Below are 17,164 nucleotides of genomic sequence, written 5' to 3'. Positions count from 1 at the left end.
TCCTGTCTCAGTCTCCCAAAGTACTGGGATTATAGGCATGAACCACTGTGCCCAGCCTAATATGGTATTTCTTTTGTTCTGAAGGTCTATCATTAACTTGGGGGTACATCTGGCAATTTATGTTATCTTAAGATTGAAGCAATAGGGGACTTAGTGGATAACCAGATGCCTCAGATATTTCTAGAGCATTTGGGAAGGAGACCTTTTGAGACACGAGACCCCTTGTTGTCTGTCTACCATGGATTCCCCCCAACCTCTCACTGCAGTCTACCTCGAGACCTATGGCTGCCAGATGAATGTGAATGACACAGAGATAGCCTGGTCCATCTTACAGAAGAGTGGCTACCTGCGGACCAGTAACCTCCAAGAGGTACATGCATTTCCTATTTCCTTTGTTTCCTGGACCTGGGCAAGATTCTGCATTTGTGCCAGTTCTTAGGTGTAGTTTCAGGAGCAGGGTGCCCCCTGGTGAGAGAGAGTTCCCTTGGGTGAAGTGTTCACCATGGGACTGAGTTGTACTTTTGTTCCAGCTGTTTTTGAAACTTTTATGGTGATGTGCGCCTTCAGACAAGGAGCTAAGTTAAGAATTGGCTGTGGAGAGGGAAGTTGGAGAGTTACTGTTTAACGAGTACAGGGTTTTAGTTGCAGAAGATGAAAAAGTTATGGAAAATGCGTAGTTATGAAATTGCAGATGTTCTTAATGCCACAGGACTGTACCCTTAAAAATGGTTAAAATGTCCAGGTGTGGGTCACCATGCCTGTAATCCCAGGACTTTGGGAGGCCAAGGCAGGAGGATTGCTTGAAGACAGGAGTTTGAGGCTGCAGTGAGCTATGGTTATGCTATTGCTCTTCAGCCTGGGCAAGTGAGCGAGACTCCTTTCTCTATTAAAAAAAAAAAAAAAGGAAAAAAATAGTTAAAGAAAAATAATAGGCCGGGTGTAGTGGCTCATGCCTGTAATCCTAGCATTTTGGGAGACCAAGGCAGGTGAATCACTTGAGGTCAGGAGTTCGAGACCAGCTTGGCTAACATGGTAAAACCCCATCTCTACTAAAAATACAAAAATTAACTGGGCGTGGTGGTGGGCACCTGTAATCCCAGGCTGAGGCAGGAGAATTGCTTGAACCGCTCGGGAGGTGGAGGTTGCAGTGAGCTGAGATTGCCCCACTGCACTCCAGCCTGGGAAACAGAGTGAGACTCTGTCTCAAAAAAAAAAAAAGGAAAAAAAAATAATAAAGAGCTGTAGGGCAGGAATTGTACAAGGCTAATATCCAAGATATTATGTAATTTTCCTTGTTTTCCTTTCTTTCCATTCAGGCAGATGTGATTCTCCTTGTCACATGCTCTATCAGGTGCGAATTTGTTCTTTTCCTAGGAGTGAATGTATTTTATGTAATAATGCCAGAGCTAACAGTGCCTGGCCTGGCTGTCTATGGAGATGAGCCAGTGGCCCCATGGCAGTAGGACTTGCAGTTTTCCCACAGTGGAGATAGTCTTTATACAACTGGCTGACATTGGCTGGGCATGTACCGTGGTGTCAGGTTCTGAGTGAGTAACATAATGCATTAACAAATTTAATGATCACAACAACCCTGTGTGGTTGGTGCTGTTATAGATGAGGACACCAAGAATGTGCCGAGCCACTCAGCTCTTCCTGAGCTTTGTTTTGTAACTAATGGCATATGTTTATAATATAGCTGCCCGGGGTAGGATGTAGTCATAGGCTTGGGGAGTTTTGAGTAGAGATGGGTGACTCCCATCAGAGGTGAACGTACCTCCTTTCTCACTTTGTTTCTGTGTTCAAGACATGCTAGTGTTAATGTTTCCCTATCCGGCTATACTGTCAATTAATTCATCTGACATTTTTGTTCTGTAGGCCTCTGCTGCTTGACACTGAACTATGTGCTTTGGGTGATTCCGAAATGAACCCTTCTTCCATGGCCTGGCTTTAAGGAGCCTAGTCTGATATGGGAACTAAGATAGATGAACAAATAGCTCCAACATCTGGCAAAAAATGCTAGTTCAAAAAAAATCAAACAATGAGGCTGGGTGTAGTAGGTCACACCTATAATCCCAGCACTCTTGGAGTCCGAGGTGGGAGGATCACTTGAGTCCAGGAGTTCAAGGCTACAGTGAACTATTCAAGACCAGCCTGGGCACAAAGTAAAGCCCTGTATCTACAAAGAAAAATAAAAGATAAATTGCTGGCCAGGCACGGTTGCTCACACCTGTAATCCCAGCGCTTTGGGAGGCCAGAGTGGGCATATCATGAGGTCAGGAGTTCAAGACCAGTCTGGCCAACATAGTGAAACCCCATCTCTACTAAAAATACAAAAATTAGCCAGGCGTGGTGGTGCACGCCTGTAATCCCAGCTACTCAGGAGGCTGAGGCAGGATAATTGCTTGAACCAGGGAGTTGGAGGTTGCAGTGAGCCGAGATCGCGCTGTTGCACTCCAGCCTGGTGACAAAGCGAGACTCCATCTCAAAAAAAAAAAAGGAGAAATTGCTAAGTATAGGGAAAAATCTAGTTAAAGTAGAAGGGCATTAGGATCTGGAATCATAAAAAAAAAAAGTTGAAGGGCAGTTAAAGGGAGGACAAACTGTCCAACAGAGGAGAACTGGAAGGCCTTGTGAAGTAGATTGTTTTTGAGTTTGGCTTAAAGGCTTTTCAGGATTTGAAGATGTGTAGGAAGGATGTCATTTTAGGAAAGGTAAATTATAGCAAGTGTTGCTTCTTCAGGTGGCCCCCTACCTACCTTCCGTAAGTCTGAATGGCAGATACACATTTAAGGCAGGGCTGTCCAATCTTTTGACTTCCCTGGGCCACATTGGAAGAAGAAGAAGAATTGTCTTGGGCCACACATAAGATACACTAACACTAATAATAGCTGATGAGCTAAAAAAAAAAAAAAAAAAAAAATCCCCCCCAAAAAAATCTCCTAATGTTTTACAAAAGTTTATGAATTTGTGTTGGGCTGCATTCAAAGCCATCCTGGCTGCATGTGGCCCGTGGGCTGCAGGTTGGAAAAGCTTGATTTAAAGGGTTGAAGGTGGTTTTTATTTTCTTCCCACTGACCTACTCTCTTAGATACCTCTGTGGTTTATTTTTGGTTCAGTCTTGCCTCCTTTGATCTCTCTAGGGAGAAGGCTGAGCAGACCATCTGGAACCGTTTACATCAGCTTAAAGCCTTGAAGACAAGGCGGCCCCGCTCCCGGGTTCCTCTGAGGATTGGAATTCTAGGTATCTGGTAATTTGCACATTTTGTCAGCTTTGAAACTTGGACTTTATGTGGCTTTATTTGCTAGTGTTTCCTTTAGAGGCTGGATTCCCAGTGTCTGAAGAAATCTTATATATCCCATGCAATTCTTGTACTTACTGCCAGAGGTGACAGGATTAAATGAGATAAAGTTCATGAAAGGGCTTTCCGTAGTTCCTTGAAGTAATAGGTGCTCAGAAAGTGGTATATCCTGCCTAGAGTCTAATGCGGCTCATGGTAGCACAGAGTTATGGGTAGAGTTGGAGTCTGAAGGGACAGCTTGAATTTCTTTTTTTTTTTTCTTTGAGATGGAGTTTCACTCTTGTTGTCCAGGCTGGAGTGCAATGGCGAGATCTTGGCTCACCGCAACTTCTGCCTCCTGGGTGCAAGTGATTCTCCTGCCTCAGCCTCCCGAGTAGCTGGGATTACAGGCTTGCACCACCATGCCTGGCTAATTTTGTATTTTTAGTAGAGACGGGTTTCCCCATGTTGGTCAGGCTGGTCTCGAACTCCTGACCTCGGGTGATCCGCCTGCCTCAGCCTCCCAAAGTGTTGGGATTATAGGCATGAGCCACCGTGCCTGGCCTGACAGCACAAATTTCTAATGTGGGTACCTTTCATTCTGACTCCTGAAGCAAGCTCAAGTGAAGATTTAGGTCTGCCTCACCAATATGGTAACCACTAGCCACATGTGGCTATTTAAATTTACCTATAATTAAATAAAATTTAAAATTCACTTCTTTAGTTCCATTAGCCACATTTCAACTTCTCAGTAGCCACACATGACCACATGACTAGGGGCTACCAGTTTGTACAGCGCAATTATTTTTCCATCCAGCACACTCTGTCATCCTTTTTTTTTTTTTTTTTTTTTTTAAAAACAGAGTCTCACACTGTTGCCCAGACTGGAGTGGCATGATCATGGCTCACTGCAGCCTCCAACTCCTGGGCTCAAATGATCCTCTCACCTCAGCCTCCTGGGTAGCTAGGTCTACAGGTGTGTACCACCACACTTAGCTAATTTTTTGACCTTTTGTAGAAACAGGGTCTTGCTATATTGCCCAGGCTGGTCTAGAACTTCTGGGCTGAAGTGTGATCCTCTTGCCTCAATCTCCCAGATTGCTGGGATTATAGGTGTGAGCCACTGCACCAGGCCTATCATCTTATTAGAAAGTTATGTTGGGCAGTTCTGATCTATATGACTGGAGACATTTCTCTACCCTTTTCTGTCTCAGAATTTAGTTAATGTATTTAACATTATGGAAAAACAGACTATCTCCATTGTGGAATAGTTAAATTAATCTCTCCTAACGATGGGTCCACACACAGATGGAGCATATTTAGTTATCAGATCCATGTAGTAATTGACGCAGGAGGATGGAAGGGTCAGCTGAAATGTTCTGTTCCATTTCAGTTCCTTCACTGTAGAAGCCTCAGGGTGTATATCTAATAAGAATTTCAGAAATCCCAAGAATAATTTAAAAAACTGTAGTAAAATATATATGAAATTACCATTTTAATCCTTTTTAATAGTATATTTCTGTGGCACTAAGTATATTCACATTGTTTTGCACCCATCACCACCATCCATCTGCAGGACTTTTTTCTCTTCCCAAACTGAGACTACATATCCATTGAACACACGCTCCCCATTCCTCCTTCCCTCAGCCCCTGGCAATCACCATTCTACTTTCTGTTTATGAATCTGACTACTCTAGATACCTCATGTAAGTGGAACCATACAATTTTGTCTTTTTTGTGACTGTCTTATTTGGCTTATCATAATGTCCTCAGGGTTCATGAGGTTACCTGTTGTAGCCTGTGTCAGAATTTCCTTCTTTTTTTTTTTTTGGTGACAGGGTCTCAGTTTGTCGCCCAGGCTGGAGTGCAGTGGCGTGATCATGGCTCACTGCAGCCTCAACCTCCCAGGCTCAAGCAATCCTCCTGCCTCAGCCTCCTGAGTAGCTGGGACTGCAGGCACGTTCCACGAGGACTAATTTTTTTATTTTTTGTAGAGATGTGGGTCTCACTATGTTGCCAGGGCTGATCCTGAACTCCTGGGCTCAAGTGATCCACCCTCCTTGGCCTCCCAAAGTGCTGAGATTACAGGTGTGACCCATAGCACCTGGCCAGAATTTCCTTCCTTTATAAGGCTGAGTAATACTCCGTTGTAAAAAAAAAAAAAAAATTCCATTGTGTATATGTAGTACATTTTGTTTGTTCATTGAAAAATTATTTTTTTTTCCCAAGGCAGAAGAATTTTTCTTAGTACAGAACAAAATGGAGTCTCCTATGTCTACTTCTTTCTACACAGACACAGCAACAATCTGATTTCTCTATCTTTTCCCCACATTTCCCCCTTTTCTATTCAACAAAACCGCCATCGTCATCATGGTCTGTTCTCAATGAGCTGTTGTGTACACCTCCCAGACGGGGTGGCGGCCGGGCAGAAGGGCTCCTCACTTCCCAGAAGGGGTGGCCGGGCAGAGGCGCCCCCCACCTCCTGGACGGGGCGGCTGGCCGGGCGGGGGCTGCCCCCTACTCCCTCCCGGACGGGGCGGCTGGCCGGGCGGGGGCTGACCCCCCCACCTCCCTCCCTGACGGGTCGGCTGGCCGGGCGGGGGCTGACCCCCACCTCCCTCCCGGACGGGGCGGCTGCTGGGCGGAGACGCTCCTCACTTCCCAGTCGGGGCAGCTGCCGGGCGGAGGGGCTCCTCACTTCTCAGACGGGGCGGCTGCCGCGCGGAGGGGCTCCTCACTTCTCAGACGGGGCGGCTGCCGCGCGGAGGGGCTCCTCACTTCTCAGACGGGGCGGCCGGGCAGAGACGCTCCTCACCTCCCAGACGGGGTCGCGGCCGGGCAGAGGCGCTCCTCACATCCCAGAGGGGGCAGCGGGGCAGAGGCACTCCCCACATCTCAGACGATGGGTGGCCGGGCAGAGACGCTGCTCACTTCCTAGACGGGATGGCGGCCGGGAAGAGGCGCTCCTCAGTTCCCAGACTGGGCAGCCGGGCAGAGGGGCTCCTCACATCCCAGACGATGGGCGGCCAGGCAGAGATGCTCCTCACTTCCCAGACGGGGTGGCGGCCGGGCAGAGGCTGCAATCTCGGCACTTTGGGAGGCCAAGGCAGGCGGCTGGGAGGTGGAGGTTGTAGCGAGCGGAGGTCACGCCACTGCACTCCAGCCTGGCAACATTGAGCACTGAGTGAACGAGACTCCATCTGCAATCCCGGCACCTCAGGAGGCCGAGGCTGGCAGATCACTCCCGGTTAGGAGCTGGAGACCAGCCCGGCCAACACAGCGAAACCCAGTCTCCACCAAAAAAATACGAAAACCAGTCAGGCGTGGCGGCGCGCGCCTGCAATCGCAGGCACTCGGCAGGTTGAGGCAGGAGAATCAGGCAGGGAGGTTGCAGTGAGCAGAGATGGCGGCAGCACAGTCCAGCTTTGGCTGGGCATCAGAGGGAGACCGTGGAAAGAGAGGGAGAGGGAGACAGTGGAAAGAGAGGGAGACGGAGACTGTGGGGAGAGGGAGAAGGAGAGAGGGAGAGGGGGAGAGGGAGAGGGAGAGGGAGAGGGGGAGAGGGAGAGGGGGAGAGGGAGAGGGAGAGGGAGAGGGAGCTGAAAAATTATTTATTTAACTGGCTTTGCGTAGATGCAAATATCTCTTCATTCATTAATAGACACTTGGGTTGCTTGCACCTTTTGGCTATTGTGGATAATAGTGCTATGAACATGGGCATACAAACAAGAATAGCTGTTAAGTGTTTTCAAAGGGTATTTGTAATAAAGTGGACTTTAAGATATTATAACTTTAATAACATAATTTTTTTAAGGATATGGAAGATAACAGCATAAATGGCTTACTCATTTCTTACAGGTTTTAGCAAGTATTATAGGCTAGAAGAGAGGGAAAGGGTTCAAGTGTAGTTGTGGGTAAGTAAGTTCCAGACACAGAATACTTTTTATTTCAGCACTAAGTAATTTTCAGTTGAAAGAAGACATGGTTCATGTCTTGAAAGGTTTGTGGGTGGTGGTTTAATTTTTTTTTTTTTTTTGAGACGGAGTTTCACCCTTGTTGCCCAGGCTGGAGTACAATGGTGCGATCTTGGCCCACCGCAACCTCTGCCTCCTGGGTTCAAGCGATTCTCCTGTCCCTCAGCCTCCCAAGTTGCTGGGATTACAGGCATGTGCCACCATGCCTGGGTACTTTTGTATTTTTAGTAGAGACAGGGTTTCTCTATGTTGGTCAGGCTGGGCTTGAACTCTCAACCTCAGGTGATCCGCCTGCCTCGGCCCCCCAAAGTGTGGGGATTACAGCCATGAGCCACCGCACCTGGCTGGTGGTTTAATTTTTTTCTGGGCATTTAATTGAATTGCTCTGGAACCCTTTTCTGTGGTTTTCTTATATAGGAAGATACAGGCTCCAGTGCGATGGGAGTGTTGGTTAAATTTGAAGGATGATACTCAATTCTTAGAGAAGTTTTCTGTGCCCTGGTCTCTAATCCCAGCTACAGATAAAGTGGAATAAGAAGAAGCCATTAAACACCAGGTGGATTTGGGGAAAGGTGCTTGTTTCTTTTTCCCTTCCAGGCTGCATGGCTGAGAGGTTGAAGGAGGAGATTCTCAACAGAGAGAAAATGGTAGATATTTTGGCTGGTCCTGATGCCTACCGGGACCTTCCCCGGCTGCTGGCTGTTGCTGAGTCGGGCCAGCAAGCTGCCAACGTGCTGCTCTCTCTGGACGAGACCTATGCTGATGTCATGCCAGTCCAGACAAGCGCCAGTGCCACGTCTGCCTTTGTGTGAGTCACTGCCTAAGAGATAGGGAATAAGCCTCTTCCTCCTTTCACACTTTTTTTTTTTTTTTTGAGACAGGGTCTCACTCTTGTCATCCAGGCTGGAGTGCAGTGTCATGATCAGGGCTCACTGCAGCCTTGACCTCCTGGGCTCTTGCTTTAGTCCCCTGAGTAGCTGGGACTACAGGTGTGCACCCCCACACCTGGCTAATTTTTTTTTGAATTTTTACAGAGATAGGGTCTCACTATATTGCCCAGGCTGGTCTCAAACTCCTGAGCTTGGGTGATCCTCCCACCTCAGCCTTCCAAAATCCTGGGATTATAAGGGTGAGCCACTGCGCCTGGCCATGGCATTAAATTTTCTGTAACAGAGGTTGCCAAATAGCTTACTACCTCTTTTTGTAAATAAGGTTTTATTGGAATACAAGCATGCCCATTTATTCACATATTGCCTCTGGCTGCTTTTGCCACTAAAGCAAGGTTAAATACTTGGGACAGAGACTATAGCCTGCTAAGTCTCAAATATTTACTATAGGGTTTTTTTTTTTTTTTTACAGAAAAGTTTGTCAACCTCTGTTTATTTTAATGGCTATATAATATTCTCTTGTTGGAATGCTTAGTAAGAATAATAGCTAACATTTATTACATAATTCTTCAGTGAACGTCTTTGATACATAGCCGTAATTATTTCCTTCAGATAGATTGAGGCTTTCACATACAGGATGTGAATTAAAGAGAGCGATTTAACTTCGATACCTAACAGTTGGATCAGGAAGGCGTGAGAAATGTAGAATTCTGTGTTTTAAATCCAGGGTCTCCTTGCCCTATATACACACATATACACACACTTTATAATATTTATTTTTTTCTGGTCTGGATGTAAAAAGTTCAGATAATATACTCATAAAAACAGTAGGTACAAACATATTCAGGCTGTCTGGAAAAAAGAATTTAAAAACAGTAGAGGGGCCAGGTGCAGTGGCTCACGCCTGTAATCCCAGCACTTTGGGAGGCTGAGGTGGGTGGATCATGAAGTCAAAAGATCGAGACCATCGTGGCCAACATGGAGAAATCCCATCTCTACTAAAAATACAAAAATTAGCCGGGCGTGGTGGCAGGCGCCTGTAGTCCCAGCTACTCAGGAGGCTGAGGCAGGAGAATCACTTGAACCTGGGAGGTGGAGGTTGCAGTGAGCCGAGATTGCAACTGCACTCCAGCCTGGTGACAGAGTGAGACTCCGTCTCAAACAAAACAAAACAAAAAAACAGTAGAAAGTCCAAGTGTGGTAAGTGTATATTCTAGCTCCTCACCGCTGTGCTTCCTCAGGCTAGTCATTGTCCCACTGGTTATAGTTTGGTTTATATTTTGTGATTAGATACCAATTTTTAAAGATAAAAAAGGTCTACTTTAGTGCTTAGATCTCAGATTGGTCCAGTGTGAGCATTGTGGCAAGAGGATTCAGAGCCAAAGAATAATGCTATTGAAGCTGAGTCCTGCTCCTTGGGTCATACCAGCACACCCTGCTACTGTTACTAAGTTCTGGTACTTTCTTCTCCAGGTCAATCATGCGAGGCTGTGACAACATGTGTAGCTACTGCATTGTTCCTTTCACCCGGGGCAGGGAGAGGAGTCGGCCTATTGCCTCCATTCTAGAGGAAGTGAAGAAGCTTTCTGAGCAGGTGAAGAGTTCTCCAGGCTTTCTTGCTGTGAACATGTTTGGGGGAGGATGAGGATAACCTTTGTAGTTTTGAGCCTATGCTGTCTCTGACTTATTAAAGTTTAGGACCATGCCTGGCCAGAAAGAACTACTTTTGTGTACATCATTGGTTTATTGCCCACAAATTACAGAGCTCCACTATGGAGGCAGCATGGTGGATGGAGAGGGCATGAGATTACAGTCAGGTGATGGAGTGTGAATTCTGGCTTGGTTCCTAGGCATGTCAATTTAACTGTCGTCGTAATGCAGTTTCCTCATCTGTGAAAAGAGAATAAAATAATACCTTGCTTGCAGGGTTATTAGAAGGATTGGAGGAAAAGTTTTTAAATTACCTGGCACATAGCTAAGTTTTTGAGAAATTATGAATTTGTCTCTTCCAGGAAAAACTCCCAGATTTATTGTTCATTTTATCACTGAGCCAGCTCACTAGTTGAGGGACAGAATAGATGAGGGGAGTAAGGTGGATCAGAAGCCACAGGGGAGATCTGCTCTTCTTTCTCCCACTGGGAGCTGGTCCTCAGCTTTTGAGGAGGTCTTTTCCTTAGCCCCGGGCCTGAATCTGCTACCCCTGCAGAAGAGGACAATAGGTGGGAATATGGTGGCTTTTCCTAACAGTGGTGTCTCCCTGCTTCCTTACTTGTTTGGCTCAGGAATCATGGGAGAGGGCCAGGGTAGCCCCTGCCCCAGTTCTTTTTTTATTTTTTATTTTTGAGACGGGCTTTCACTCTGTCACCCAAGCTGGAGTACAGTGGTGTGGTCAGAGCTCACTGCAGCATCACCTGCCTGGACTCAAGCAATTCTCCCACTTCAGCCTCCCAAGTAGCTGGGACTACAGGTAGGTGCCACCACGCCCAGTGAATTTTTTAATTATTTGTAGAGATGAGGTCTCACTATGCTGCCCAGGCTGGTCTAGAACTCCTGGGATCAAGTAATCCTACTGTCTTGGCCTCCCAAAGTGCTGGGATTACAGTCATGAGCCACTGTGCCTGGCCTCCCTGCTCTAGTTCTAAGTCACCAGTTTGCTATCATCCTCACATTCTGGCAGTGCTGTCTTCTCTTGCCCTACCCCCAGATAATCAGTTCCTTGATTTGGCCCCTAGCTGCTCCCCTGCTCTGTGAGGCATTTTCCATACCCCACCTCTCCAAGTGCTTCCTGGTCTAAAGTTGTCTCCTTCCTCTCCCCTTCCAGCTCTCCCTCAGTACCAAAACTCACTCCTTCAGGATAGAGACATTCTGTTTAAATAGACTGAGATGGTGACAAAACTCCCCAACCTTTCTAGGCCATTTGCCTATAAAAGAAGGAACTTAATAACATTAAAGTGAATCTTAGTGAATTCAAGGCCATAGACTTGTGGAAAATTAAGATTTTACTTGTATTTTAAAGTATCTGTTAGTCACTTAATAATTTTGCTTGTTTAGTAATTTTTAAAGATTTTTTTTCTTTCATTTAGATTTTTTAGACTACAGTTGCAAAGAGTATAGAATATTGTACCTTTAACAGAATGTCCGTTTATTCATTCAAACAATGGTTATCTATTGGAAGTCTTCTAAATAAGCAACTTTTATAAAAAGTCTTTTTAATCTTTTTATATGAAAAATACTTAAATATACTGAAAAGAGGGAATAGTATAATGACCCCTCTGCCCCAGCTAACAATCACCTAAATTTAACAATTGTTGCATTTTGCCATATTTGTTTCATTTACTTTTATTTTTTATTTTTTTTTGGCTGGAGTGTAGTGGTATGATCTCGGCTCACTGCAGCCTCCACCTCCCAGATTCAAGCGATTCTCCTGCCTTATCCTCCTGAGTAGCTGGGATTACAGGTGCCTGGCACCACACCTGGCTGATTTTTTTTTTTTTTTTTTTTTGAGACAGAGTTTTGCTCTTATTACCCAGGCTGGAGTGCAATGGTGTGATCTCGGCTCACCACAACCTCCGCCTCCCGGGTTCAAACGATTCTCCTGCCTCAGCCTCCCGAGTAGCTGGGATTATAGGCATGCGCCACCACGCCTGGCTAATTTTGTATTTTTTAAGTAGAGACGGGGTTTCTCCATGTTGTTCAGGCTGGTCTCGATCTCCCGACCTCAGGTGTTCCTCCCACCTCGGCCTCCCAAAGTGTTGGGATTACAGGTAAGAGCCACTGTGCCTGGCTTAATTTTTGTATTTTTAATAGAGACGGGGTTTCACCATGTTAGGCTGGTCTCAAACTCCTGATCTCAAGTGATCCACCCGCCTCGGCCTCCCAAAGTGCTGGGATTACAGGTGTGAGCCCACTACGCCTGGCCTCATTTATTTTTTTCTTATTGAAAACGTATTTCAAAGTAGAGCATGTTGTTTCATCCTTCAGTATGCATCTCTAAAAAATAAGGATATTTTCTTTTTTAAACATTTAAAAATCTTTTTATTATTTATTTATTTATTTATTTTTGAGATGGAGTTTCGCTCTTTTTGCCCAGGCTGGAGTGCAATGGCACAATCTTGGCTCACCGCAACCTCCGCCTCCCAGGTTCAAGTGATTCTCCTGCCTCAGCCTCCCAAGTAGCTGGAATTACAGGTGTGCACCACTACACCCAGCTAATTTTGTATTTTTAGTAGAGATGGGGTTTCACCATGTTGGCCAGGCTTAGTCTCAAACTCCTGACCTCAGGTGATTCACCCGGCTCAGCCTCCCAAAGGGCTAGGATTACAGGTGTGAGCCACTGTGCCTGGCCTATTTATTTATTTACTTATTTATTTATTTATTTTGAGACAGAGTCTTGTTCTGTTGCCCAGGCTGGAGTGCAGTGTTATGATCTTGGCTCACTGCAACCTCTGCCCCCGGGACTCAAGTGATCCTCCTGCCTCAGCCTCCTGAGTAGCTGGGATTATAGGCACGTACCACCATGTGCTGCTAAAGAATATTTTTATTTTATTTTATTTATTTATTTAGAGACGGAATTTTGCTCTTTTTGCCCATGCTGGAGTGCAATGGCACGATCTCAGCTCACTGCAACCTCCACCTCCTGGGTTCATGTGATTCTCCTGCTTCAGCCTCCTGAGTAAATGGGACTACAGGCATGCGCCACCATACTTAGCTCATTTTTGTATTTTTAGTAGAGACGGGGTTTCACCATGTTGGGCAGGCTGGTCTCGAACTCCTGACCTCAGGTGATCTACCCGCCTTGGCCTCCTAAAGTGCTAGGATTACAGGCATGAGCCACCGTGTCTGGCCAAGAATATTTTTAATACCATTAGTTCTTCCAGTAAGATTAACAAAAATTGCTAAATACTGTCTCATTCCAGTTCATCCTTATTCGGAGTTCCCCAATTGTTCCTTAAGTCATTCTGCATTTGGTTTGTATGTCTTTTTATATATGTGTGTGTATTTTACTTAGTTTTATATCCTACTTTTTAATAAACTTTTTGTTTTGGAATGACTTTACATTTACAGGAAAGTTGCAAAGAGAGTTTCCTCGAGCATTGCCATCTTTCTTTGGTACATTTTTTGGTGCTGTAATCCCAGCACTTTGGGAGGCCAAGGCAGGAGGGTGCCTTGAGCGTAGGAGTTCAAGACCAGCCTGGGCAACACTGGGAGCTGCTGTCTCTATTACAAAACAAACAAAGCAAAAACTAAGAGATTAATATTGGTATGTTACTATTAACTCTCTTCAGACTTTATTTGGATTTTGCCAGTTTCTCCACTAATGTCTTACTTCGTTTCCAGGATCCAATCTAGGATCCACATTGCATTTAGTATATCCTGCTTTTTAGATTAACAGTATGTCACAACTTACACAAATAAATAGCCTTTATGGAGACTGGAGTTATGACAACTAAATGCATCGCACGGTCCTCGATTGGGATTCTGATCAGGGAAAAAAATGTTATAAAGAACATTATTTGGGCTGGGCGTGGTGGCTCACACCTGTAATCCTAGCATTTTGGGAGACCATGGTGTGCAGATTGTCTGAGCTCCGGAGTTTGAGACTAGCCTGGGCAACTTGGCAAAACCCGTCTCTACTAAAAAATACAAAAAGTTAGCCTGGCGTGGTGACACACGCCTGTAGTCCCAGCTACTCAGGAGGCTGAGGCAGGAGAATCGCTTGAACCTGGGAGGCGGAGATTGCAGTGAGCCAAGATCACGCTAGTGCACTCCAGCCTGGGCAACAGAGTGAGACTCTGTCTCAAAAAACAACAATAACAACAACAACAACAACAAAACATTATTTGGACTATTGGTAACATTTGATTTATGGAAAGTAGATAATAGTGTTGTATCAATATTTCTGATTTTGATAATTGTCCTGAAATTATATAGGAGAATGCCCTTGTTTTTAAGAAATATATACTAAAATATTTGGAAGTAAAAGAGTATGATATCTGTGACTTTTTCTCAGAAGGCTTAAAAAAAATGTAGTCATATGTGTGTTGAGAGAGAGTGTATATGAGTGTCTGAATGTGAATGATAAACAAATGGGGTGCAGTGTTAACATTTGATGAATTTGGGCAAAGAGTATATGGGAATTCTTTTAATATTGCAGTTTGTCTGTAAATTATGTCAAAGTTACAAAACAAGTCTTTTTTAGCAACCATTATTTGTGAAACTTTATAATATAACATTTCTATTTTTTGAGATGGAGTCTCGCTCTGTTGCCCAGGCTGGAGTGCAGTGGCATGGTCTCGGCTCACTGCAGCCTCTGCCTCCTGGGTTCAAGCGATTCTCCTGCCTCACCCTCCTTAGTAGCTGGGATTAGGTGCCTGCCACCACGCCCAGCTAATTTTTTGTATTTTTAGTAGAGAAGGGATTTCACCATGTTAGCCAGGCTGGTCTGAACTCCTGACCGTGTGATCCGCCCACCTTGGCCTCCCAAAGTACTGGGATTTCAGGAGGGAGCCACTGCACCTGGCCTATAATATAAATTTTCAAACAGACAAATAGAAAGACTAGTATAATAGAAAAACGTGATTGTTAACATTTTGTCATACACCTATCTCCATGCACCCATAAATGTATTTTTTCTGAACCATTTGAAGTAATTTGTAGACCTCAGGACACTTGCCCCTAGATACTTCAGTATGTATCTTCTATGAGTAACAATTTTTCTCTTCATAACCATGATATCATTATCATATGTATGAAAATCAATAGTTATTTAAGCCAGACACTTTGGGAGGCTGAGGTGGGAGGATTGCTTGAGTTTAGGAGTTTAAAACCAGTCTGTGCAACATGGTGAAATCCCATCTCTACAAAAGTAAAAAAAGGTAGTCCCAGCTACTTGGGAGGCTGAGGCAGGAGGACTGCTTAAGCCTGGGAGGTTGAGGCTACAGTGAGCTATGATCGTGCTGCTGCACTCCAGCCTGGGCAACAGAGGGAGACCCTGTCTCAAGAAGAAGAAGAAAAAAATCTAAAACAGCTCTTTTATTTTTTGTTGTTGTTGTTTTCTTTAAATGATGCATTAACTTTTTGAAGAGATCAGACATGAGTCTCCTTTGTCTGATTTTTTCCTCATGTTGTCATTTAATATATCTCTGTGAATTCTAGTAACTGGAAGTTAGGTGTAAAAGCTTGATTAGTTCAGGTTAAATATTTCTGGTGAGAATACTTTATATAGTCATGGTGTATAACATTCAAATGACAGATCTATCATAAATTAACCATTATTGTGGATTATTGAGTTTGTTTCCAGTTTTGATTCTAAATAATGTTTTGAAGATTAATTTTTATATAAGGCTTTATTAGGTTTAGCTCTTTAGGTAAGATGTCTAAGCTTGAAATTATTCGGTTATAGACACAACACACTTATAGGTGACTCTTGGTAGGTTCGATTTTTCTTTTGTTTAAAACAAAAGATATGTTAATTTCAGCTAATTTTTAATTAGTGTTTTTTTATGAAGCTACCCAAAAGTTTTAAAATTCCAATATATTTTCCCATGTTTAGGGGCTGAAAGAAGTGACACTTCTTGGTCAGAATGTTAATAGTTTTCGGGACAATTCGGAGGTCCAGTTCAACAGTGCAGTGCCTACCAATCTCAGTCGTGGCTTTACCACCAACTATAAAACCAAGCAAGGAGGACTTCGTTTTGCTCATCTTCTGGATCAGGTCTCCAGAGTAGATCCTGAAATGAGGATCCGTTTTACCTCTCCCCACCCCAAGGATTTTCCTGATGAGGTGAGCGTCAGGTTAGCTGTGACAAACTGATATTAGTATTCTTGAGCATGCCAAAGGCTGGACCCAGTAGGGATGCAGCAGAGACCTGGAGTCCTGCTTAGGGATCCTGTGGGGTATTGCTGCATCACCCTCCAGATCTGCTGGTCCTTTGAAGATTTGAAGTCCACCAGTGGCTGGGCACGGGGCTTACACCAATAATCTCAACACTTGGAGACGCTGAGGCAGGTGGATTACTTGAGCTCAGGAGTTGGAAACCAGCCTGGGCAACATGGCGAAACCCCGTCTCTACTGCAAATACAAAAAATTAGCTGGGTGGGGTGGGATACGACTGTAGTTCTGGCTACTTGGGAGACTGAGGTGGCATACGACTGTAGTTCCAGCTACTTGGGAGACTGAGGTGGGAGAATCACATGAGCCCAGGAAGTCGAGGCTGCAGTGAGCCGAGATCGCACCACTGCACTCCATCCTGGGTGAGATAGCGAGACCCTGTCTCGAAAAAAAAGTCTGCCAAGGTGGGAGTGGAGGTAGGACTGATATTCAGCGGGAGGTTAAGACCACCTGCGGGACCGTGAGGGCTGTACAGAGAGGATTTGTTACAAAGTGGGCAGCTGAGTGGTAATAATGGTGGTGGGGCGGTAATGGTGGTGTGGGGTGGACAGGAAGGAGGTGATGTGGTGCTCTGGGAAACAGCCCAGACTTTCGCCTCAGACCCGGGTTCAAATCTCAGCTTTTCCACTGTTTTACCAGCGAGCATGTGATGTTTTCAACTTTTCATCTTTATCTGTAAAATGGGGTTAATAAGGGGTTAACAATTACCTCCTGCTTTGGGTTGTTGTGAAATAGATACAAAGGCATACCTTGTTTTATTGCACTCTGCAGATATTATGGAGTTATTTTTAACAAATGGAAGGTTTGTGGCAACTCTGAATAAGTCTGTCAGCACCATTTTTCCAACAGCATGTGCTTACTTCATGTCTCTGTGTCATATTTTGGTAATTTTCACAATATTTCAAACTTCATTATTATTACATCTGTTATGGTGATCTGTGATCAGTGCTATTTAATGTTATTCTTAAAATTGTTTCGGAACACCATGAGCCACACCCACATAAGAAAGTGACCTAAATTGGTAAATGATGTGTGTGTTCTGACTGTTCCACAGACGGCCATTCCCCCATCTCTCTCCCTTTCCTCAGGCCTCCCTATTCTCTGAGACACAACAATATTGAAATTGGGCCATTT

General features: G+C 44.7%; 1 protein-coding gene across 15 annotated transcripts in view; it reads left to right on the top strand.

Annotated features, from left to right (window-relative positions):
* Positions 1-17,164, top strand: part of CDK5RAP1 (CDK5RAP1 mitochondrial tRNA methylthiotransferase) — a 42,731-nt gene that overhangs the window by 6,187 nt on the left and 19,380 nt on the right. For 6 of the 15 annotated variants that reach the window (XM_011528857.3, NM_001278169.1, NM_016082.4 and 3 more), the window contains 6 exons: positions 267-370; positions 1,317-1,351; positions 3,141-3,241; positions 7,850-8,060; positions 9,613-9,733; positions 15,692-15,922. In XM_011528857.3, coding sequence (XP_011527159.1) covers positions 293-370; positions 1,317-1,351; positions 3,141-3,241; positions 7,850-8,060; positions 9,613-9,733; positions 15,692-15,922 — 777 coding nt within the window. In that variant the 5' untranslated portion in view covers positions 267-292. Of the gene's footprint in view, positions 1-266; positions 371-1,316; positions 1,352-3,140; positions 3,249-7,849; positions 8,061-9,612; positions 9,734-11,861; positions 11,904-13,203; positions 13,300-15,691; positions 15,923-17,164 lie in introns of those variants that run through there. The other 9 variants (XM_024451893.2, XM_011528859.3, XM_047440194.1 and 6 more) reach the window with 7 other exon arrangements.

This window comes from Homo sapiens, chromosome 20 (assembly GCF_000001405.40).
Source record: "Homo sapiens chromosome 20, GRCh38.p14 Primary Assembly".
Classification (NCBI taxonomy): Eukaryota; Metazoa; Chordata; class Mammalia; order Primates; family Hominidae; genus Homo; species Homo sapiens.
The sequence above is the reverse complement of the archived record's forward strand: the minus strand, read 5'-3'. Positions and strand labels throughout refer to the sequence as shown.